The 18,249-nt window shown below is 38.1% G+C and overlaps 1 protein-coding gene across 9 annotated transcripts in view; it reads left to right on the top strand.

Moving 5' to 3' along the window:
* Positions 1–18,249, top strand: part of KYAT3 (kynurenine aminotransferase 3) — a 71,917-nt gene that overhangs the window by 14,196 nt on the left and 39,472 nt on the right. For 5 of the 9 annotated variants that reach the window (NR_146183.1, NM_001349447.1, NM_001349448.1 and 2 more), the window contains 6 exons: positions 9,298–9,356; positions 9,951–10,095; positions 13,787–13,936; positions 16,620–16,706; positions 17,259–17,384; positions 17,478–17,598. Coding sequence is in view for 6 of the 9 variants with exons in the window: in NM_001349448.1 (NP_001336377.1) it covers positions 9,298–9,356; positions 9,951–10,095; positions 13,787–13,936; positions 16,620–16,706; positions 17,259–17,384; positions 17,478–17,598 (688 nt within the window). In the remaining 3 variants the exon portion in view is untranslated. Of the gene's footprint in view, positions 1–9,297; positions 9,357–9,950; positions 10,096–13,786; positions 13,937–14,052; positions 14,210–16,619; positions 16,707–17,258; positions 17,385–17,477; positions 17,599–18,249 lie in introns of all 9 variants that reach the window. The other 4 variants (NM_001349449.1, NM_001349450.1, NR_146185.1 and 1 more) reach the window with 3 other exon arrangements.

The following is an 18,249-nucleotide window of genomic DNA, read 5'->3' as shown; positions in this document are numbered from 1 at the left end:
CCAAGACAGGAGGATCACTTGAACCCAGGAGTTTGAGACCAGCCTGGGCAACATAGCAATATTCTATCTCTACCAAAAAAAAAAAAAATTAAGAACAAAATTAGCCAGGTGTGGTGCCACATACCTGTAGTCCCAGCTACTCAGGAGGCTGGGGTGGGAGGATGACTTCAACTTGGGCAGGTGAGGTTGCAGTGAGCCATGATTGCACCACTGCACTCCAGCCTGAGCAACAGAGCAAGACTCTGTCTCAAAAAAATTAAAGTTAACCAGGCATACTGGCACACATATGTCATCCCAGCTACTTGGGAGGCTGAGGTGGAGATCACCTTAGCCAGGAGGTTGAGGCTGCAGTGAGCCATGATGGTGGCACTGCCACAGCCTGGGTGACAGAGCGAGACCCTGTCTCAAAAAAAAAAGACACCACAACTCCACCCGGAGAAGAAATAAAATCTCAAAGAAGCATGAGCAGCCAACACAATTTTATAGCAGGAAAGAAAAAGCAAAAAAGCTAGGAAAGAACATAACAGTTTCTTTTTAAGATCTGTGTTTAAACAAAGACACTTAGGAAGTGGTACAAGTGCTAAGGAATGAATTAATACTAAATGTCATCACTGTGATGGTTGGAACATCAAAATATACATAACATATACATACATGTGTATATTATATACATATATACATATGTGTATATATTATATACATACATATCTATATACAATAGAGTTATGCTTCACTTAAAAACTGGGATACATTCTGTGATCATAGAGTGCACTTACACAAACCTAGATGGTATATAGCCTGCTACACACCTAGGCTATATGGCATAGACTATTGCTCCTAGGCTACAAATCTATACAGCATGTTACTGTACTTAATACTACAGGCAACTGTAACATAATGGTATTTGCATATCTAAACATAGAAAAGGTACAGTAAAAATGCAGTGAGATAAGAAAATGGTACACCTGTGTAGAGCACTTTCCATGAATAGAGCTTGCAGGATTGCTCTGGGTGGGTCAGTGAGTGAGTAGAGTGAATGTGAAGGCCTAGGACATTACTGTACACTACTATAGACTTTATGAACATTGTATACTTATGCTATACTAAATTTATTAAAACTTTTTTCTGCCAAGTGCAGTGGCTCACGCCTATAATGCCAGCACTTTGGGAGGCTGAGGCAGGTGGATCACCTGAGGTCAGGAGTTCAAAACCAGCCTGGCCAACATGGTGAAACCTCGTCTCTACTAAAAGTACAAAAATAAAGGAAGGGCACAGTGGCTCACGCCTATAATCCCAGCACTTTGGGAGGCCGAGTAGGGCAGATCGCCTGAGGTCAGGAGTTCGAGACCAGCCTGGCCAACATGGTGAAACCCCATCTCTATTAAAAATACAAAAATTAGCTGGGCATAGTGGCAGGTGCCTGTAATCCCAGCTACTCGGGAAGCTGAGACAGGAGAATCACTTGAACCCGGGAGGTGGAGGTTGCAATGAGCCAAGATTGCGCCGTTGCATTCCAACCTGGGCAACAAGAGCGAAACGTCGTCTCAAAAAAATAAAAATCAATTTTTTTTTAAATACAAAATTTAGCTGGGCATGGTGGCACGTGCCTGTAGTCCCAGCTACTCAGGAAGCTGAGGCAGGAGAATCGCTTGAACCCGGGAGGCAGAGGTTGTGGTAAGCCGAGATCGTGCCACTGCTCTCTAGCCTGGGCAACGAAGTGAGACTCCGTCTCAAAAAAACAAAACAGAACAGAACCTTTCTTCTTCAATAATAAATTGAAGACAATTCACCTACTGTAACTTTTTACCTTATAAACTTTTTAAATGTTTAATCTTTGACTCTTCTATAACACTTAACACACAAACTATACAAAATATTTAAAAATATTTTATGTCATTCTATAAATTTTTTCTATTTTTAGTAATTTTCTTTTTTTACTTTTTTGTGTTAAAAACTAAGACACATACGTTAGCCTAGACCTACCGATGAACTGGATCATCAGTATCACTGTGTTCTACCTCCACGTCTTGTCCCACTGGAAGGTCTTCAGGGACAATAACATGCATGGAGCTGTCATCTGCTATGATAACAATGTCTTCTTCCAGAATGTCCTGAAGGACATGCCTGAGGCTGTTTTATAGTCAACTTTTTTTTAATAAGTAAGGGTACACTCTAAAATAACAATAAAAGGTATGGTATAGTAAATACATAAACCAGTAACATAGTTGCTTGTTATCATATCAAGTACTATGTACTGTACATAATTGTATGTTCTAGACTTTTATATGACTGGCACTGCAATAGGTTTATACCAGCATCACCACAAACACGTGACTAATGCATCATGCCACAATGTTACAACAGCTACAATGGCTCCACTAGGCAAGTAGGAACTGTTTTTTTTTTTTGAGATGGAGTCTACCTCTGTTACCCAGGCTGGGGTGCAGTGGCGTGATCTCGGCTTACTGCAACCTCTGCCTCCCGGGTGCAAGCAATTCTCCTGCCTCAGCCTCCGGAGTAGCTGGGACTACAGGCGCATGCCACCACACCCGGCTAATTTTTGTATTTTTATTAGAGACAGGGTTTCACCATATTGGCCAGGCTGGTCTCGAACTCCTGACCTTGTGATCCGCCTGCCTCAGCCTCCCAAAGTGCTGGGATTACAGGCGTGAGCCACTGCACCTGGCTGCAAGTAGAAATTTTTACCTCCATATACTCTTTTTTTTTTCTTGAGATGGAGTCTCGCTCTGTCACCCAGGCTGGAATGCAGTGGCATGATCCCGGCTCACTGCAACCTCCACCTCCTGGGTCAGACGATTCTCCTGCCACTGCTTCCTGAGTAGCTGGGACTACAGGCACTTGCCACCACGCTTAGCTCATTTTTGTATTTTTAGTAGAGACGGGGTTTTACCATGTTGGCCAGGATGGTCTTGAACTCCTGACCTCAGGTGGTCCACCCACCCCAGCCTCCCAAAGTGCTGAGACTACAGGCATGAGCCACCATGCTCGGCCTGCTCCATATAGTCTTATGGGACTACCGTCATATATGCAATCTGTCATTGACCAAAACGTGTTTATGCAGCACATGACTCTGTGTTGTATATATAATGTAAAGCTTCAATAAAAGTAAATCAAAAGTTAAATGTGTTTAGTTTGATAGAACCAGATGACTATAATATTGAGGATATTATCCTTCTTGTGATAATTAGTTTTGTTACAATACAGCACTCACCTTCCACGTGAAACTTTAAAATGCAGGGGAAAAGAGCAGAGACCATATAATTAAAATGCACAGTAGAAACACTGAAATGTGGGGCTGGGCGCTGTGGCTCATGCCTGTAATCCCAGCACTTTGGGAGGCCAAGGTGGGCAGATCACGAGGTCAGGAGATCAAGACCATCCTGGCTAACGTGGTGAAACCCAGTCTCTCCTAAAAATACAAAAAATTAGCCAGGCATGGTGGCACGTGCCGGTAGTCCTGTGTCCGGAATTTATTCCTTCCTGTGGGTTCTTGGTCTCGCTCGCTTCAAGAATGAAGCCACAGACCCTTGTGGTGAGTGTTACAGCTCTTAAAGATGGTGTGTCTGGAGTTTGTTCCTTCAGATGTGTCCAGAGTTTCTTCCTTCCAGTGGGTTCGTGGTCTCGCTGACTTCAAGAATGAAGCCACAGACCCTCGGGTTAATGTTACAGCTCTTAAAGGTGGTGCGGACCCAAAGAGTGAGCAGCAGCAAGATTTATTATGAAGTGTGAAAAGAACAAAGCTTCCACACCACGGAAGGGGACCCGGACAGGTTGCCCCTGCTGGCTCACGTGGCCGGCCTTTATTCCCTTATTTGGCCCTGCCCACATCCTGCTGATTGGTCCATTTTACAGAGCACCGATTGGTCCATTTTACAGAGTGCTGATTGGTCCATTTTACAGAGTGCTAATTGGTGTGTTTACAATCCTTTAGCTAGACACAGAGTGCTGATTTGGTGCGTTTACAATCCTTTAGCAAGACCCAGAGCGCTGATTGGTGCATTTTTACTGAATGCTGATTGGTGCATTTACAATCCTTTAGCTAGACACAGAGCGCTGATTGGTGCATTTATAATCCTCTAGCTAGACAGAAAAGTTCTCCAAGTCCCCACTCGACCCAGGAAGTCCACCTGGCTTCATCTCTCAGTCCCAGGCTGAGGCAGGGGAATCGCTTGAACCCAAGAGGCAGAGGTTGCAGTGAGCCGAGATCATGCCACTGCACTACGGCCTGGCCAACAGCAAGACTCTGTCTCAAAAAAAAAAAAAAAAAAAAAAAAGAGAGAGACACCAAAATGCATTGCAAGACAACAAGACACTGAAATAACATGCCCAGCAACAGGGGAATGAATGAGTAAAATATGGCACAAAAACAACCAAAAACATACGTTGTAATTAAAAGTGAAATTTTTATGACTCAGAAAATTCATAAAATACTTAAGATACAGTACTTTGTTAAGAGACAATTAAAAATATTTTTAAATGACACATGATTGCAACTACAAATCCCCACTTCATAGATCTAAAAGACAGTAACATTTGGGCCCTCCAGCATCCAGGCCCCCCATGAAAAGGGTGCCCACTTCTGCTCTTTCCTGGTCCCGAAGTGTGGTATCCATCTGTTTCCCAAGCCTGGTTCTGTTTTCACCTCTCCATCCATGAGCTTTGCATTTCCTATTTCTGGCCTTTTCTTGCAGTTATTATTATTGTTACTAATATTAAACTTTTTGGCTGTGACCTTGACTTCTCTGGATGAAGACTTGATTCACAGCCCATACTACACAGATATCCACAGCCTCAATTCTCCCAGCTTCAGCCCATCATTTAGGAAGACTTTTTCTGTACCTGTCCCATCTCACCTGCCTCAGATCTTATGGGAAGAGTCCTAAAAATATATACAATTGAAACTTTGATGGACTAGGGTCTTAAGATCATGGGTTCAACATACAGTATTAGTTTTTTTCGATCTGTCCAAACTTTTTTAAAGACTTAATCTTTTCCTTATCTTTGTCAAGCTTGCCACCTGGTGGTGAATTTCTAGAACTTCATTGTTCTAGAAATTAGCCTCAAGTGAGCATAAGTAAGGTTAAAAGATGCTACCTTTGATTTCACTAGCAGTTTTGCGTTAATAACATGGAAGTATAGGCCTTTAATCACCCTGGTAGCCAAAGTCATATCACAGGGTTAGCTGATCCAGAAGTTATACAAGCCTTATAGACATTCCCTTACTTGCCTGGGACTCATGCCCTGATTCCCCGTAGGATTCTAGGTTGATTTTAATTACCTGATACTGGATCTGCTCTGGGAAGTAGTTCTTACTTAGACAGTGAGCATTTGCATCTACTGCAGAATCTTGGTGACTCCGAACATTGTATAGTGTCTTGTAAACTTTCACCAGTGTGTTAGTTCCCTCAGGTTGCCTTAACAAAGTACTACAAACTAGGTGGCTTACTAAATAACAGCAGTTTATTCCCTCATTGTTTGGGAGGCTAAAAGTCTGAGATAAGTATCAGCATGGCCAGTTCCTTCTGAGAGCTGTGAATAAGATTGTTCTATACCCCACCCCCACTATCATCTGGTGATTGCCTGGAAATCTCTGCATTCCTTGGCTGGTAGGAGCATCACCTTAGTCTGTGCCTTCATCTTCACACAGGGTCTATGTATATGTCCAGATCTCACCTTTTTATAAGACCACCAGTCATATTGGATTAGGGTTCACGCTAATGACCTCATCTTAACTAATTACATCTGCAGTAACCCTATATCCACATAAGATTACATCCGGAGGAACTGGGAGTTAGGACTTCAACATATGAAACTAAGGGGGGCATGGTCCAACCCATAGCAACCACGTATCTCATTATACCTCCAGACTTCATTTCCACCATGTTTTTCACAATTATTTGCTGCTGTTCCCTGCTGGACAGTTACATTTCCTTGCCCCACTGATGTGAAGCTTAGCTGTGAAATTGCTCTGCCCAATAAAATATGAAAAGAAGTGATGTGTGCACATCCTAACAGAACCTTTTAAGAGCCTCTTCCCTCTGCCATGAAACAGGCAGTGTTCCAGGTGAAGGCTGTTTCATCAGCCTATGTCTCAGAATGACAGTGACACAGACCAGGGCAGCAGCTGAACCTCAGTGGATATGTAGTATGAACAAGAAAACCTTTATGATTTTAGGCCACCAAGACTTTGGGGTCATTTATCACTGAAGCATAAACGAACTTTAGCTGACTGATAGAGCTAACTGACACCATAAGTTCACCCTGTAATGTGAGTGAGGTTTTTTTAAAAAAATTCATTCATCAGATAATTATTTGAAACTATGTGCTAGGCATAACTATATGTTGGACACTGTGATGGTGTCACCTTGGCTATGCCCTGGTACCCAGATATTTGCCAAACATCAGTCTAGGTATTGCTGTGAAGGTGTATTTTAGATGAGATTAACGTTTAAATCAGTAGGCTTTCAGTAAAGCCAATTACCATCCATAATATGGGTGGGCCTCATTCAGTGGAAAACCTTAAGAGGAAAAGACTGAGGTCCTCAAGGAAGAGGGAGTTCTTCTGACTCCAGTTGCAGCATCCGTTCTTCCCTGAGTCTCCAACCTGCTCTGCAGATTTCAGATTTGCCAGCCCTCACAAACACATAAGCCAGTTCCTTAAAATAAATGTATGTATAGCTCACATTTATTTCAATGTTTCATATTAGAAGTGTTTCATTCTTTATTTAGAAGTATAGTAGTGATTTTGTGACCAGAAATATGCTGTAGAAACTGAACTCTTATTTATCTCAATTAGCCTATGGTAAAATTGGTCATGCTGTATATCATTTTGCTTAAAGCTGCAGTTTCCAAGAACCTATATGACACTTTTAAGTGATGACTTGCTGTACTGCATTTAATAGAAGCACATAGGAGAAGCACCTGACCCTGACTCGTAGAACCAAAGAAGGCTTTTGGGAGGGAATGAAGTCGAATTTGAGAACTGCACTTGGCAAGTGGAATAGGAGTTAGCCAAGTGCAAGGAAGGGTGGTGGGGACCAGGAATTGGACTGAGTAGAGAACATGCACTCTCAACAAGGGCATGATCTCCCCCAGGAGAAGAAAATGGGTGCTTGGCAGACAAGATAAATCTTAGCTATCACACTGTTTTGTCACCATCCAAAGCTCAATCCTATGTGACAAAATTGTATTCCTCTTAATATTTAATTGAGGGGAGGGAAGATGACTAGGAAAGAATTTCTAAGAAGGTCTCCTTAGGTGGGCAATAATAAAAAAAAACATTGAGAAACATTGGTATAGAAAGAGCATTTGGGCATAGGAAAGATCACACATGAAACTACTGAAATGAGAGAGAACATAGACTATTTGAAAAATTAGAATGGGTGTGGCATAGAATTGGGAGGGAAGAGGAAGCAGGAAGAACAATGAGAGAAGAGGCCAGTCTAGAAACAAATTTTAAAGAAAATTAAACCTGAAAGTGCATTTCAACCTCAATTATCTAAATAATTTAAAGTTGGATTTTGTGTCTAAATTATCTACAGCACATCAAACTCACTTTTTTATGTATAAATCATCCTTTGTGTTTGTGGTCTCTACTGAATGAATTAAGCTTTAAACATTGTGTTAGAGATAGACAAGAGCATTTGTTAAGATAGATATTTCAACCTATCATGCTAGAACTTGGTAGTTGTACAACTGTTGTCTCTAGAATGGCATCATGTTCAGGTGGGTAATTATAATGCTATTCCAGCAAGCTTTTTAACCTCTGGAGAATTTTCATGTGATTTACTTCACTGGAGTTTCAAAGACAAAATATGACACTAAAAAAGGTATTTTTCTTGGTCCCATTATTTAGAATAGAATGAGAACAATGGTCTATTTAATAACCATTATCGTTATCTTCCCAGATTGAATTAAAATTACATTAATATTCCATTAGAAAATTCTCTGCAAAAATGCTGTCAATCATTTTTTTATTTCTACCAGCTTGTTAACAATGAACTCAAAGCTAATTCAATACTTTTGGGAGATAGTATAAAACTCAATTTTAGAATCTAAAGAACTAAAAAATTGTATGCTATGTGATAATTTTAATTCCTATTTTTCTACTACAGCCTTAGCTTGCTTGGTATTAGTAGGCTTATCCTAAATTTATAATATACTTTTAAGAGGCAGCATTCTAGTAATATTTTTAGAAGGTCTTATTATATAAAACACAGTATAAAATTATATAATAGTTCTGAGTATGGATTCTGGAGTCAGACTGTCTGGGTTCAGATCCTGAGTTGAACCTGTTTGGGTTTAAATGTTACTAGCTTTCATAAACTTGAGCAGATGTGAAAAGTTGTGTGATCTTAACCTCTCCGTACCTCTGTACCTCATAGTTCTAACTATGTAATAGAACTACTACATATTTTTGTAAACATACAGTAATAATGAGTTCATTATGTAAAGCACTTAGAACAGTACCTAGGACATACTCAGTACTCAATAATGTTAGCAATAATTATGGAACCCCTTACTGAGTAGCTTTAAAACCATTTGTTGAGTCTTTCCTGTATGTCATACAAGGAACTTACTTGTGAAACTCTTAGTACATCTTACCTAAAATGATGTTCAGAGCATGGCTTAAGATATTTTTTGAAACTAACTTTTTAAATATTATTATTGTTCTCTTTACTACATTACAAGCCTTAAAACAGATTAGCTTTCTAGGGTAGGATGATACTTTTTGTCCTTAGGTGAGAAGATGAACATCTAAATTTCATTTGAAAAAGCATTCCTTCCAGCCAAGCATGGTAGCTCACACCTGTAATCCCAAACTTTGAGAGGCCAAGGTAGGAGGATCCCTTGAGGCCAGGAGTTTGAGACCAACCTGGGCAACACCACAAGACCCTGTCTCTATAAAATATACAAACAAACAACAACAAAAAAAATAGTTTGGCACAGTAGGATATGCCTATAGTCCCACCTGCTCAGGAGACTGAGGCAGGAGGATCACTTGAGCCTGGATAGTTGAAGCTGCAGTGAGCCATGATCACACCACTGCATTCCAGCCTGGGCAACCACGTCTGAGAAAAAAAAAAAAGGCATTCCTTCAGTAGTAGGTGGGAGATGAATTCCTCTTCAGAATTTTGTGTTGGAGTCTAAGATTTATCTTTATGGAACTACTATTTACATGGTAACAGTAGGGAAAAGGAAGAAGAGTGACCCATGATTTACTGGCTTTTAAAATTTTGACTAAGGCAATTCCTTTTCAATATTTATATATTTCAGAAAATGTCACTGAAATTCACAAATGCAAAACGGATTGAAGGACTTGATAGTAATGTGTGGTGAGTATCTTAAAATAAATAATAATTTAGTGAGGGTTTCCTACATATTTTCGTATCTTTAGATGGGAGTTTTTTTTGCCTCATCCATGGTCTATAAATAAAGGTCCTCATTTAATTCATCCATTAAATGAAAATGGAAGGAAGTTAGCAATCCATATACTGAATTGTTCATTTGGCACATGTGCCATGCCCTTTGCTGGACACTGGACATATGGCAGAGAAAAGGACAAATGTTAATGCCCTCATGGAACTTAACCTCCAATCCAGGAACTTTTCTTATTAGTTCTGTTCTCTAATAGTTGATGAAAGAACTTAGCAGCAGCTGGAATTGTTGAGAAAATATATATATGTGGTTAAAATATGGGTAGCGTGAAACTGAGGTTTGTAAGGGACATTGGGTTCATAAATTCAGCCATCATTCTATTTGGTAAACTGATTTGTGGTTGGTAAATTTTTGTTGGAAACTCATTTTTTAAAACCTATAGGACTAAACTAGGGTCTTATTTGTCTGTTTTGTGGTAAGACTATAAGATATAAAAAAGCGAACTTTATAATTGTAGAACTTATTAATATTAGTATTTTTTTCAATCTTAGGATTGAATTTACCAAATTGGCTGCAGACCCTTCTGTTGTGAATCTTGGCCAAGGCTTTCCAGATATATCCCCTCCTACATATGTAAAAGAAGAATTATCAAAGATTGCAGCAATCGATAGCCTGAATCAGTATACACGAGGCTTTGTAAGTATATCAAGACCATATGGGCCATGAGCTTTTATTTTATACTGGGGTGTGTGTCTGTGTGTGTGCATGTGCCCTTCTGTCATTCATATATAAGTGACTTTCTGGGACCAGCTGTCCCATCCTAGCAACCACAGAAACTTCTGCCCTTGCCCTATGTCCTGAGATGAGCCTTCGCCTACTTCCAGCCCCTCTACACTTTTCTTTCTTTTGGCCCTTACTTTACTGTTGCTCCAAGATAGGATCCTATGGCAACACGATAAGGAACAACATTCTCTTGAGACATGTCTTTTCTATCTCATCAACATTTATGCAGCCTGAGCACTGACCCTTTATTTAATATATCCAACTAGCTACGTTTTTCCTCCTTGTGCCAGCTCACTCCCATCCTTCTGTAATGAAATGCCTAGGATAGCCAAAGATTTTCTAGATCAGACGTACCTTTGAACTGTAGACTTGTATCTGTTGTGCCAAAAGCCATACAATTATCATATGTCTGACCACTTGTCTTTTCCTTTTATGATATTGTGGGAAATGGGGAGGGGAATGGTATAGGAGGAAGCCTGTTTTTTGTCTTCTATAGTGGTCTAACTATAAAAATCCATAGAAGGGTTTTGCTTTGGGAATAGCACAGGGAAAAGCAGTGAAACTTACCTGTGTCACAGGGTTTGACACTGGTGAGAATCCCTGCTCTTCATAGATCTCACTCCCTGGCCCACCCTACAGACCCCCATCTCAGACCTACTCAACATAACTCACTCCCCAGCCTATACAAATCCATAATGAAAGGCTAGAAACAAACCAACAATAGAGAAAATTAATGAAACCAAAAGCTGGTTCTTTGAAAAGATCAATAAGTAAAAGTTTTAGCTAGATTGACCAATAAAAAAGAAAAAACTCAAAGTACCATATGAAGAATGAAAGAAGGAATATCATTACTGATCATACAAACATGAAAGCAATAATAGGATAATATTATGGATAATTTTATGTCAGTACATTGACAACTTGGATGAAATGAACAGATTATTTAAAAGATACAAATTACCAAAACTGACACAAGGAGAGATGAAAAATGCAACTAGCCCTATGTCAATGAAAGAAAATGAATTTGTAATTAAAGTCTTCCTGCAAACAAACCTCAATACCTAGATGGCTTATTAGTGAATTCTATCAAGTATTTAAGGAAGAACTATTAGGTCAGTGCAAAAGTAATTGCGGTTTTGCCATTAATTTTAATGACAAAAACCGCAATTACTTTTGCACAAACCTAATAATACCAGTTCTGCACACATTTATTCAGAAAGTGGAGCAGGATGAAAAACTTTTACTTATTGATCAACAATTTTTGTAATTTGAAAAATAAAGAAATGCCTAATGGTTTTGTCTGAACTTTTAATCAGGGGTTTTGTATCAGGGTAATGCTGGTCTCATAAAATTAGTTTCAGCATTACCCTGATACAAAAACTGATTTAAAAAATGCCAGCGAAAGAAATAAAGAAAACTCCAGTTCAATATCTCTCATGAACATAGAAACAAAGATTATGAAATTTTAGCAAATCAAATCCAGATATGTGTGTGTGCATGTGTGTGTGCCTGTGTGTATAAAGATATAAAAAGTAATACATCCTGACCAAGTAAGGTTTACCATAGGAATGCAGGATTAGTTTTAATATCCAAAAATTAATCATTGCAATTATGCTATATTATCAGAAAAAAAAGATCATCTTATGTAGTATATATAGAAAATGCATCTGACAAAATTCAACCCTCATTTATAATAAAAGTTTTCAGCCAATTAGAAATAGAATGGAGCTTTCTCACTCTGATAAAAGGAATCTATGAGAAACCTACAGATTACACCTGTAGTGCACATAATATAGTAAGATTGAAAAGACAGCAAAGATGTCCACTCTGACCATTGTTATTCATCAGTGTACTGGAGTCCTGTGAGATATAAAGATACATAGATTAGAAAGAAGAAAAATGTAAACTCATTTTCAGAAAACATGATTGTGTACATAGAATATCCTAAGGAATTCTAAAAGAAAAAAAAGCCTACTACAACTAATAAATGAATTGAGCAAGGTCACAGGACACAAAGCCAATATACAAAAATCAGTTGTATTTCTATATATTAAAATGAACAATTAGAAAGTAAAATTTTTTAAATACTATTTATAGTAGTATCCCAAAACACAAAACATTTAAGAATAAATTTTTTAAAATATATCCAAGATCTGTACGATGAAATCTATAAAACATTACTGAGAGAAATTAAGCAATACCTAAATAAATTGGGAATGATGTTCATGGATTGAGAGACTAAATATTGTCTATGTCAGTTTTCCCAAATTGGTCTATAGCAGGGTTTTGCAATCTATGGCCTATGGACCCAATATGTCAAATTTTGTAAATAAAGTTTCATTAGAACACAACCATACCCACTTATTTATTAATATGTATATTCTAGTTTTTGTAAATACATAGGTATATACATGTCTATGTGTTTTTATATTGGTATAAGCACTGAGAGTGGTGTTGCACTATCACCAGGCTGTGGACATTCATCACCTCAGGGGGATGGGAATGAAATAATATTGAGGAGCGATTGTAATTTTTATACATCTTTGCCTAGTTTTACTTATTGCATGAAGCATAAATTATTTTTGTATTTAAATTTTTAATTTTAAAAGCACAAACACTTATCATTCTAAGAAATGTATATAGTGTTTATAGTTGCTTTTCAGATCTCCTCTTGCTAGAATTTGTTAGACCTGCTATTAAAGTAAAATTCAAAGGAACTCAGTTTATTGCTCCAGAGCCCAAAGTGCTTTCAAACAAAGGTACATGACCTGCACTTGCACTCTTACTCTCAAGGGATAGAAAATCAGGATGGTACTTCAAAAGCAAAATGAGGAGGTAGATGCTGGACAGAAAACAACAGGAAATATTGACCTAAATACCAAATAAAACAAGGAGGGGGAAAGGAAAAGGAAGAAAAAAAAGGAAGGAAGGGGAGAGAGCCTAGAAGAGAACTTAGGGAGAGCTAATCCAGGAGTCTTCAGACCCCCTGCTTGCCTCAGGCTGTACCTTCATAATCCCTTCACTTCTCCTATGAAAGTAGTTACCTTGGATAACCACTGCTCTCTTGACTGTCAGTGTGAGTAGTGTCTCACTTCCTTCTAACATTTGCTATCACATCAACACTAGTGTTCGTGTCGTTGGTGAATTTGTTTTTGTTCTCTTTCCCTAGTCCATTGGTTGGCATAACCATCTCTCCAGCAATCAGGAAGAGCCAAGGAGTGGGTATACAGTTAAAGTGGGTTTTTTTCACTTATTTTAACTGGGAAACAAATCCAACTCTTTTCAATATGATTTAATTACTGTCAAAAAATACAAATGGTTGATTTTTATTCAAAGCAAATACTTTGAAATTATATAATCCCAAACCCTTTATTTAGTAAGAAGTTTTAATCATTAGCAAGCCTTCATGACAAATAGTGTGGGAATACTCTAAATGTAGGAAATTTTAAAAAATTTATTGCCATTAAAAAATATAAATTTTCTTGGGGTAATTATAAACATCAAATCCAAATTTTAAAAATTCTTACATTTTAGAGCCATATTACCTCAAACAGTAGGTCCCATATTTAAATTCAAGGTTTTGTTCTTATTTTTAATCCAACAGGGCCATCCATCACTTGTGAAAGCTCTGTCCTATCTGTATGAAAAGCTTTATCAAAAGCAAATTGATTCAAATAAAGAAATCCTTGTGACAGTAGGAGCATATGGATCTCTTTTTAACACCATTCAAGCATTAATTGATGAGGGAGATGAAGTAAGTATATTAACATTATCGTAATACCCATATTAATCAATTATCATTTGTCCCACCTTTGAATCTTTCGCTTATATTCTACTCTTTTCTCTTTTTATTTTTAATTATGTTTTAAGTATAATGCATGTACAGTAAAGTTCACAAATCTTAAATGTACAGCTGGATAAATTACTGTGTAAATTTCTGTGCAACTACAACCAGACAAAGATATGATACATTTCCAGTACCCAGAAAACTTCTTTGTTCCTCTTCAGAGTCTATATTCTCCCAGAGGTAAGTACTCTTCTGTCTTCTATTACCATAGGCTTGTTTTCACTGCTCTTTTACTTAATATGAATATAATTATACAGTGTATACTCTTGGGTCTAGATCCATTCATTTATTTTTGTGTCTGTGAGATTCATCCATTTTGTTGCATATAATTTATTCTTATTTTTATAGCCTATTTAAATAAGGGCAGATGGAAGGGACTAACACTGCCAGGGAAAAAGAATCTTTTGTTTTCATTGCTAAAATAACCTTTACTCTTAACTTGGTCTACAAGTTTTTGATCAATGTCTTTGTGTGCCCAGTAATTGTATAAGCCATCCCATGTGAGGATGTTTTTGTGATTGTTTTTGTTTTTTTGAGATGGAGTCCCACTTTGTTGCCCAGGCTGGAGTGCAGTGGCACGATCTTGGTCACTGCAACCTCCACCTCACGGGTTCAAGTGATTCTCGTGCCTCAGCCTACTGAGTAGCTGAGATTACAGGCGCCCGCCACGAAGCCCAGCTAATTTTTGTATTTTTAGTAGAGATGGGATTTTGCCATGTTGGCCAGTCTGGTCTCGAACTCCTGACCTCAGGTGATCCGCCTGCCTCAGCCTCCCAAAGTGCTGGGATTACAGGCGTGAGCCACCACGCCCAGCTGAGAATGTATTAATATAATAGGAAGGTAAAATGATTTCTGCGATTTAGTACTGTGAGGTATGACCAACTTTTGCAACTACCTCAGTCATCTCTACCCGTATTTCCCATTAGCATTCCAATAGCCTTACTTTAATACTTTTTGCCTCTTTCATTTATTCAGAAAATACTGAGGATCCAATATATGCTAAGCACTGTGAGATAGAAGATGTTTTAAAGATAGATTCTATGCAGAAGGTGTTCCCTGTCTAGTAGAGAACACAGACTTGCAAATGGATTACGAGGAACACTATGGTAGTGACAAAAGGAAGAGGCAATCACCTCTGCTAAGTCTGGAAAGCTCCAGAGAGACATTGCTTAAGCTGGGACTGCAGAACGAATATTTATCCTGATCTATATTGTTAACTTTCTTTAAACTCTCATAACCCTTTATCATACCACTTTTATGAAAGATGCCACTATCTGCTTTGTGTTATGTTATTCTTTTACAACTTTGATTCCCTTCACTATGCCAGACAAGATGTTTAAGGAAACATGTTAATGAAGTTCACAGTTTCATATACATAAACTCCTTTAATCCTATACATAGTTTTGTCTCATACTTCGATGTTGTTAATCCTTTGTTGCTTCTTTCTCTGCACTCTGTTGGGAGTATTATAAGGCTTAGCCCTTAGCTTTCTTTCCTCTATTCTTTCTTCCTTCATCAACTTATCTAGTATTTTGAAACCACATACATGTCACTTGCTATCATACTGACCTATTTATTGTTTCTTTATAGCATTTATTACTATCTGAAATTATCTAATGTCCTTATTTGTCTCTCCGTTCATTATAAGCCTCTCTCAGTAGGATATAAGTTCTAGGAGAACTTTATAGCTTTACTGCCAGCACCTAAAATAGTGAGGACGCAATAAATATTCTCAAAAAAAAAAAAAGAGAGAGAGGAATTGTTCACATCATAAAAGTGAAAAAATCAAGGCGAAGAGTAACAGGTATATTTCTCCCACTCTACTGCCCTGCCTCTCCAATTTATTTTCCTTTATTGTGCTCTCACCTTGTATTAAGCTTTATATTTCCCACTAGAGTTACAAAGATAGATTGTCTTAGTCCCTGAGAACTTCACAGATGAGGCTGAGTGTGGTGGCTCAGGCCTGTAATCCCAGCACTTTGGGAGGCTGAGGCAGATCACCTGAGGTTAGGAGTTTGAGACCAGCCTGGGCAACACGGCGAAACCCCATCTCTACTAAAAATACAAAAATTAACCGTGCTTTTGAGAAGAGAGAAACATCTTTACTCTCAAGATAATGCTTTTAAATTAGCACTTTATACCAGGGAACATTACAGTGTTCTCTTCCCACATAGCCTGCTGTCTGTCACTGCTTATACATCACTTATATTCTAGATTTTATTTTCTGATTTGAAATATGAAGAAATGCTTAATCGTTTTGCCTGGAATATCCCTTTGAGAATGTGATAGTCCCATTCTCCAGGTAAATCTATCTATGCATATATGAAATTTTATATGTAATTTCAAATACTCCCACTGCATGCTTATTTATAGATCTCCCTAAGATACCAAGGAGTCCAATTAAGACTACCTGGACAAGTTTGTCTCCGAGGTCTCTTCCCCTCAGATGTTAGCTCCACAAGGGCAAAGCCTGCCTTTTTCACTGCTGTATCCCAACACATAGTACAGTGCCTAGCCCATAGTAGGTACACAGTATTATTAACATGAATAAATGATTGACAGGTTGTGATCTTATTTGCTTTTATTGCAGGTCATACTAATAGTGCCTTTCTATGACTGCTATGAGCCCATGGTGAGAATGGCTGGAGCAACACCTGTTTTTATTCCCCTGAGATCTGTAAGTTTGCCAGTATGGTTCATATGGCAAAGTTTCAAGACTTAAGAAGTCTTGAAAATACCAATTACTTTGTCATGATAAAGTTTCTACTTTGATTGCATTTGGAGATTTCCTGTATATCTCTATTTGTCTAGTTGTCTTTTTAAAATATTTTTAACATAAGTAATACACTAAGGTGAGTCACAAAATCTTCAGCTAGCCTTACAATATCAGACATGTTAACCATAGTTATAGCTAGTTCCTGTGAAGTAATATTAGCAGCAGTTAATGTTGACAGGGCTTATTTTTCCATTTAACAGGTGTGAGCATAAGACTTAGGTTTTCTTAGGCTCTTAAGCAGAACTACAGCCCAGTTATTTCTGTTTATCTTCTTTGTTAGTCTTTTTCTAGTTTTTTTTCTGTTCCTACTGCAGGAAAGCATTTGTTGGTAATTTATTCAGTTTCCTTTGCCATGACTTTCTTTGATGTTTTTTTCCTTATTAGGTTATTCGTTTGTAAGACAGTAAACATGACTTAATTGAATTAAATTATATCTTCATTCTTCATGCTTAGAAACCTGTTTATGGAAAAAGATGGTCTAGTTCTGACTGGACATTAGATCCTCAAGAACTGGAAAGTAAATTTAATTCCAAAACCAAAGCTATTATACTAAATACTCCACATAACCCACTTGGCAAGGTAAGCAAGTCTCATCTCCTTATACAGTCTTCTGACCTATCATTTTCTCACATGTTGAATAATTGGCTGTGCTCTTTCCTTTATTATGTGTAGGTGTATAACAGAGAGGAACTGCAAGTAATTGCTGACCTTTGCATCAAATATGACACACTCTGCATCAGCGATGAGGTTTATGAATGGCTTGTATATTCTGGAAATAAGCACTTAAAAATAGGTACCAACTATAACACAGAGTCACATATCTAAATGTGTTTGGGCACATATGGAAGAACTGATTGGAAAGCATCCCAGACCAACTCTAAAACAGTCTTTGTAATGGGTATCTGTCTGTATGAACACTTTAAAATAGTATTTAAATGAGCAATACTTTAGTGAATTGATGAATAGTTCAAAGGACAAAGAGTAAGAGATTTTGGATCATACTATAAAGCTATGATACCAGAAAAGTAGTTCTTTTGCCCATATATCCCTGGCTTCTTAGCAGAAATCCAGCAATTACTTGGTACATAAGACACAGGGAGCTTTCTTGTGCCTGAAAAGGTTCTAGACGGTCTATGCTGAACAACTTACCAAAATGCCAAGTCAACAGAAAGAAATTACAGGGGTAGTCAGGTATGCTGCTTGGCCCTTGCTTGAGATTCAGCCATTACTACTGGGCTATCTCATGAATGCCGTACTGTCTGCTGGGGTAGTCCAAACCATGTCAACTATAGGATTACAAACTGGGCTGCAACTTTTGGGTCTTCGCACCTCCCTTTCCTTTGCCTGGAAACACTTTTCCTCCAGGTATCCACCTGACTTCAAATATCCTTCACCTCCTTCAGGCCTTTGTCCAATGTCAGTTTTCATGACCATCACATTGAAA

This window comes from Homo sapiens, chromosome 1 (assembly GCF_000001405.40).
Source record: "Homo sapiens chromosome 1, GRCh38.p14 Primary Assembly".
NCBI lineage: Eukaryota > Metazoa > Chordata > Mammalia > Primates > Hominidae > Homo > Homo sapiens.
The sequence above is the reverse complement of the archived record's forward strand: the minus strand, read 5'-3'. Positions and strand labels throughout refer to the sequence as shown.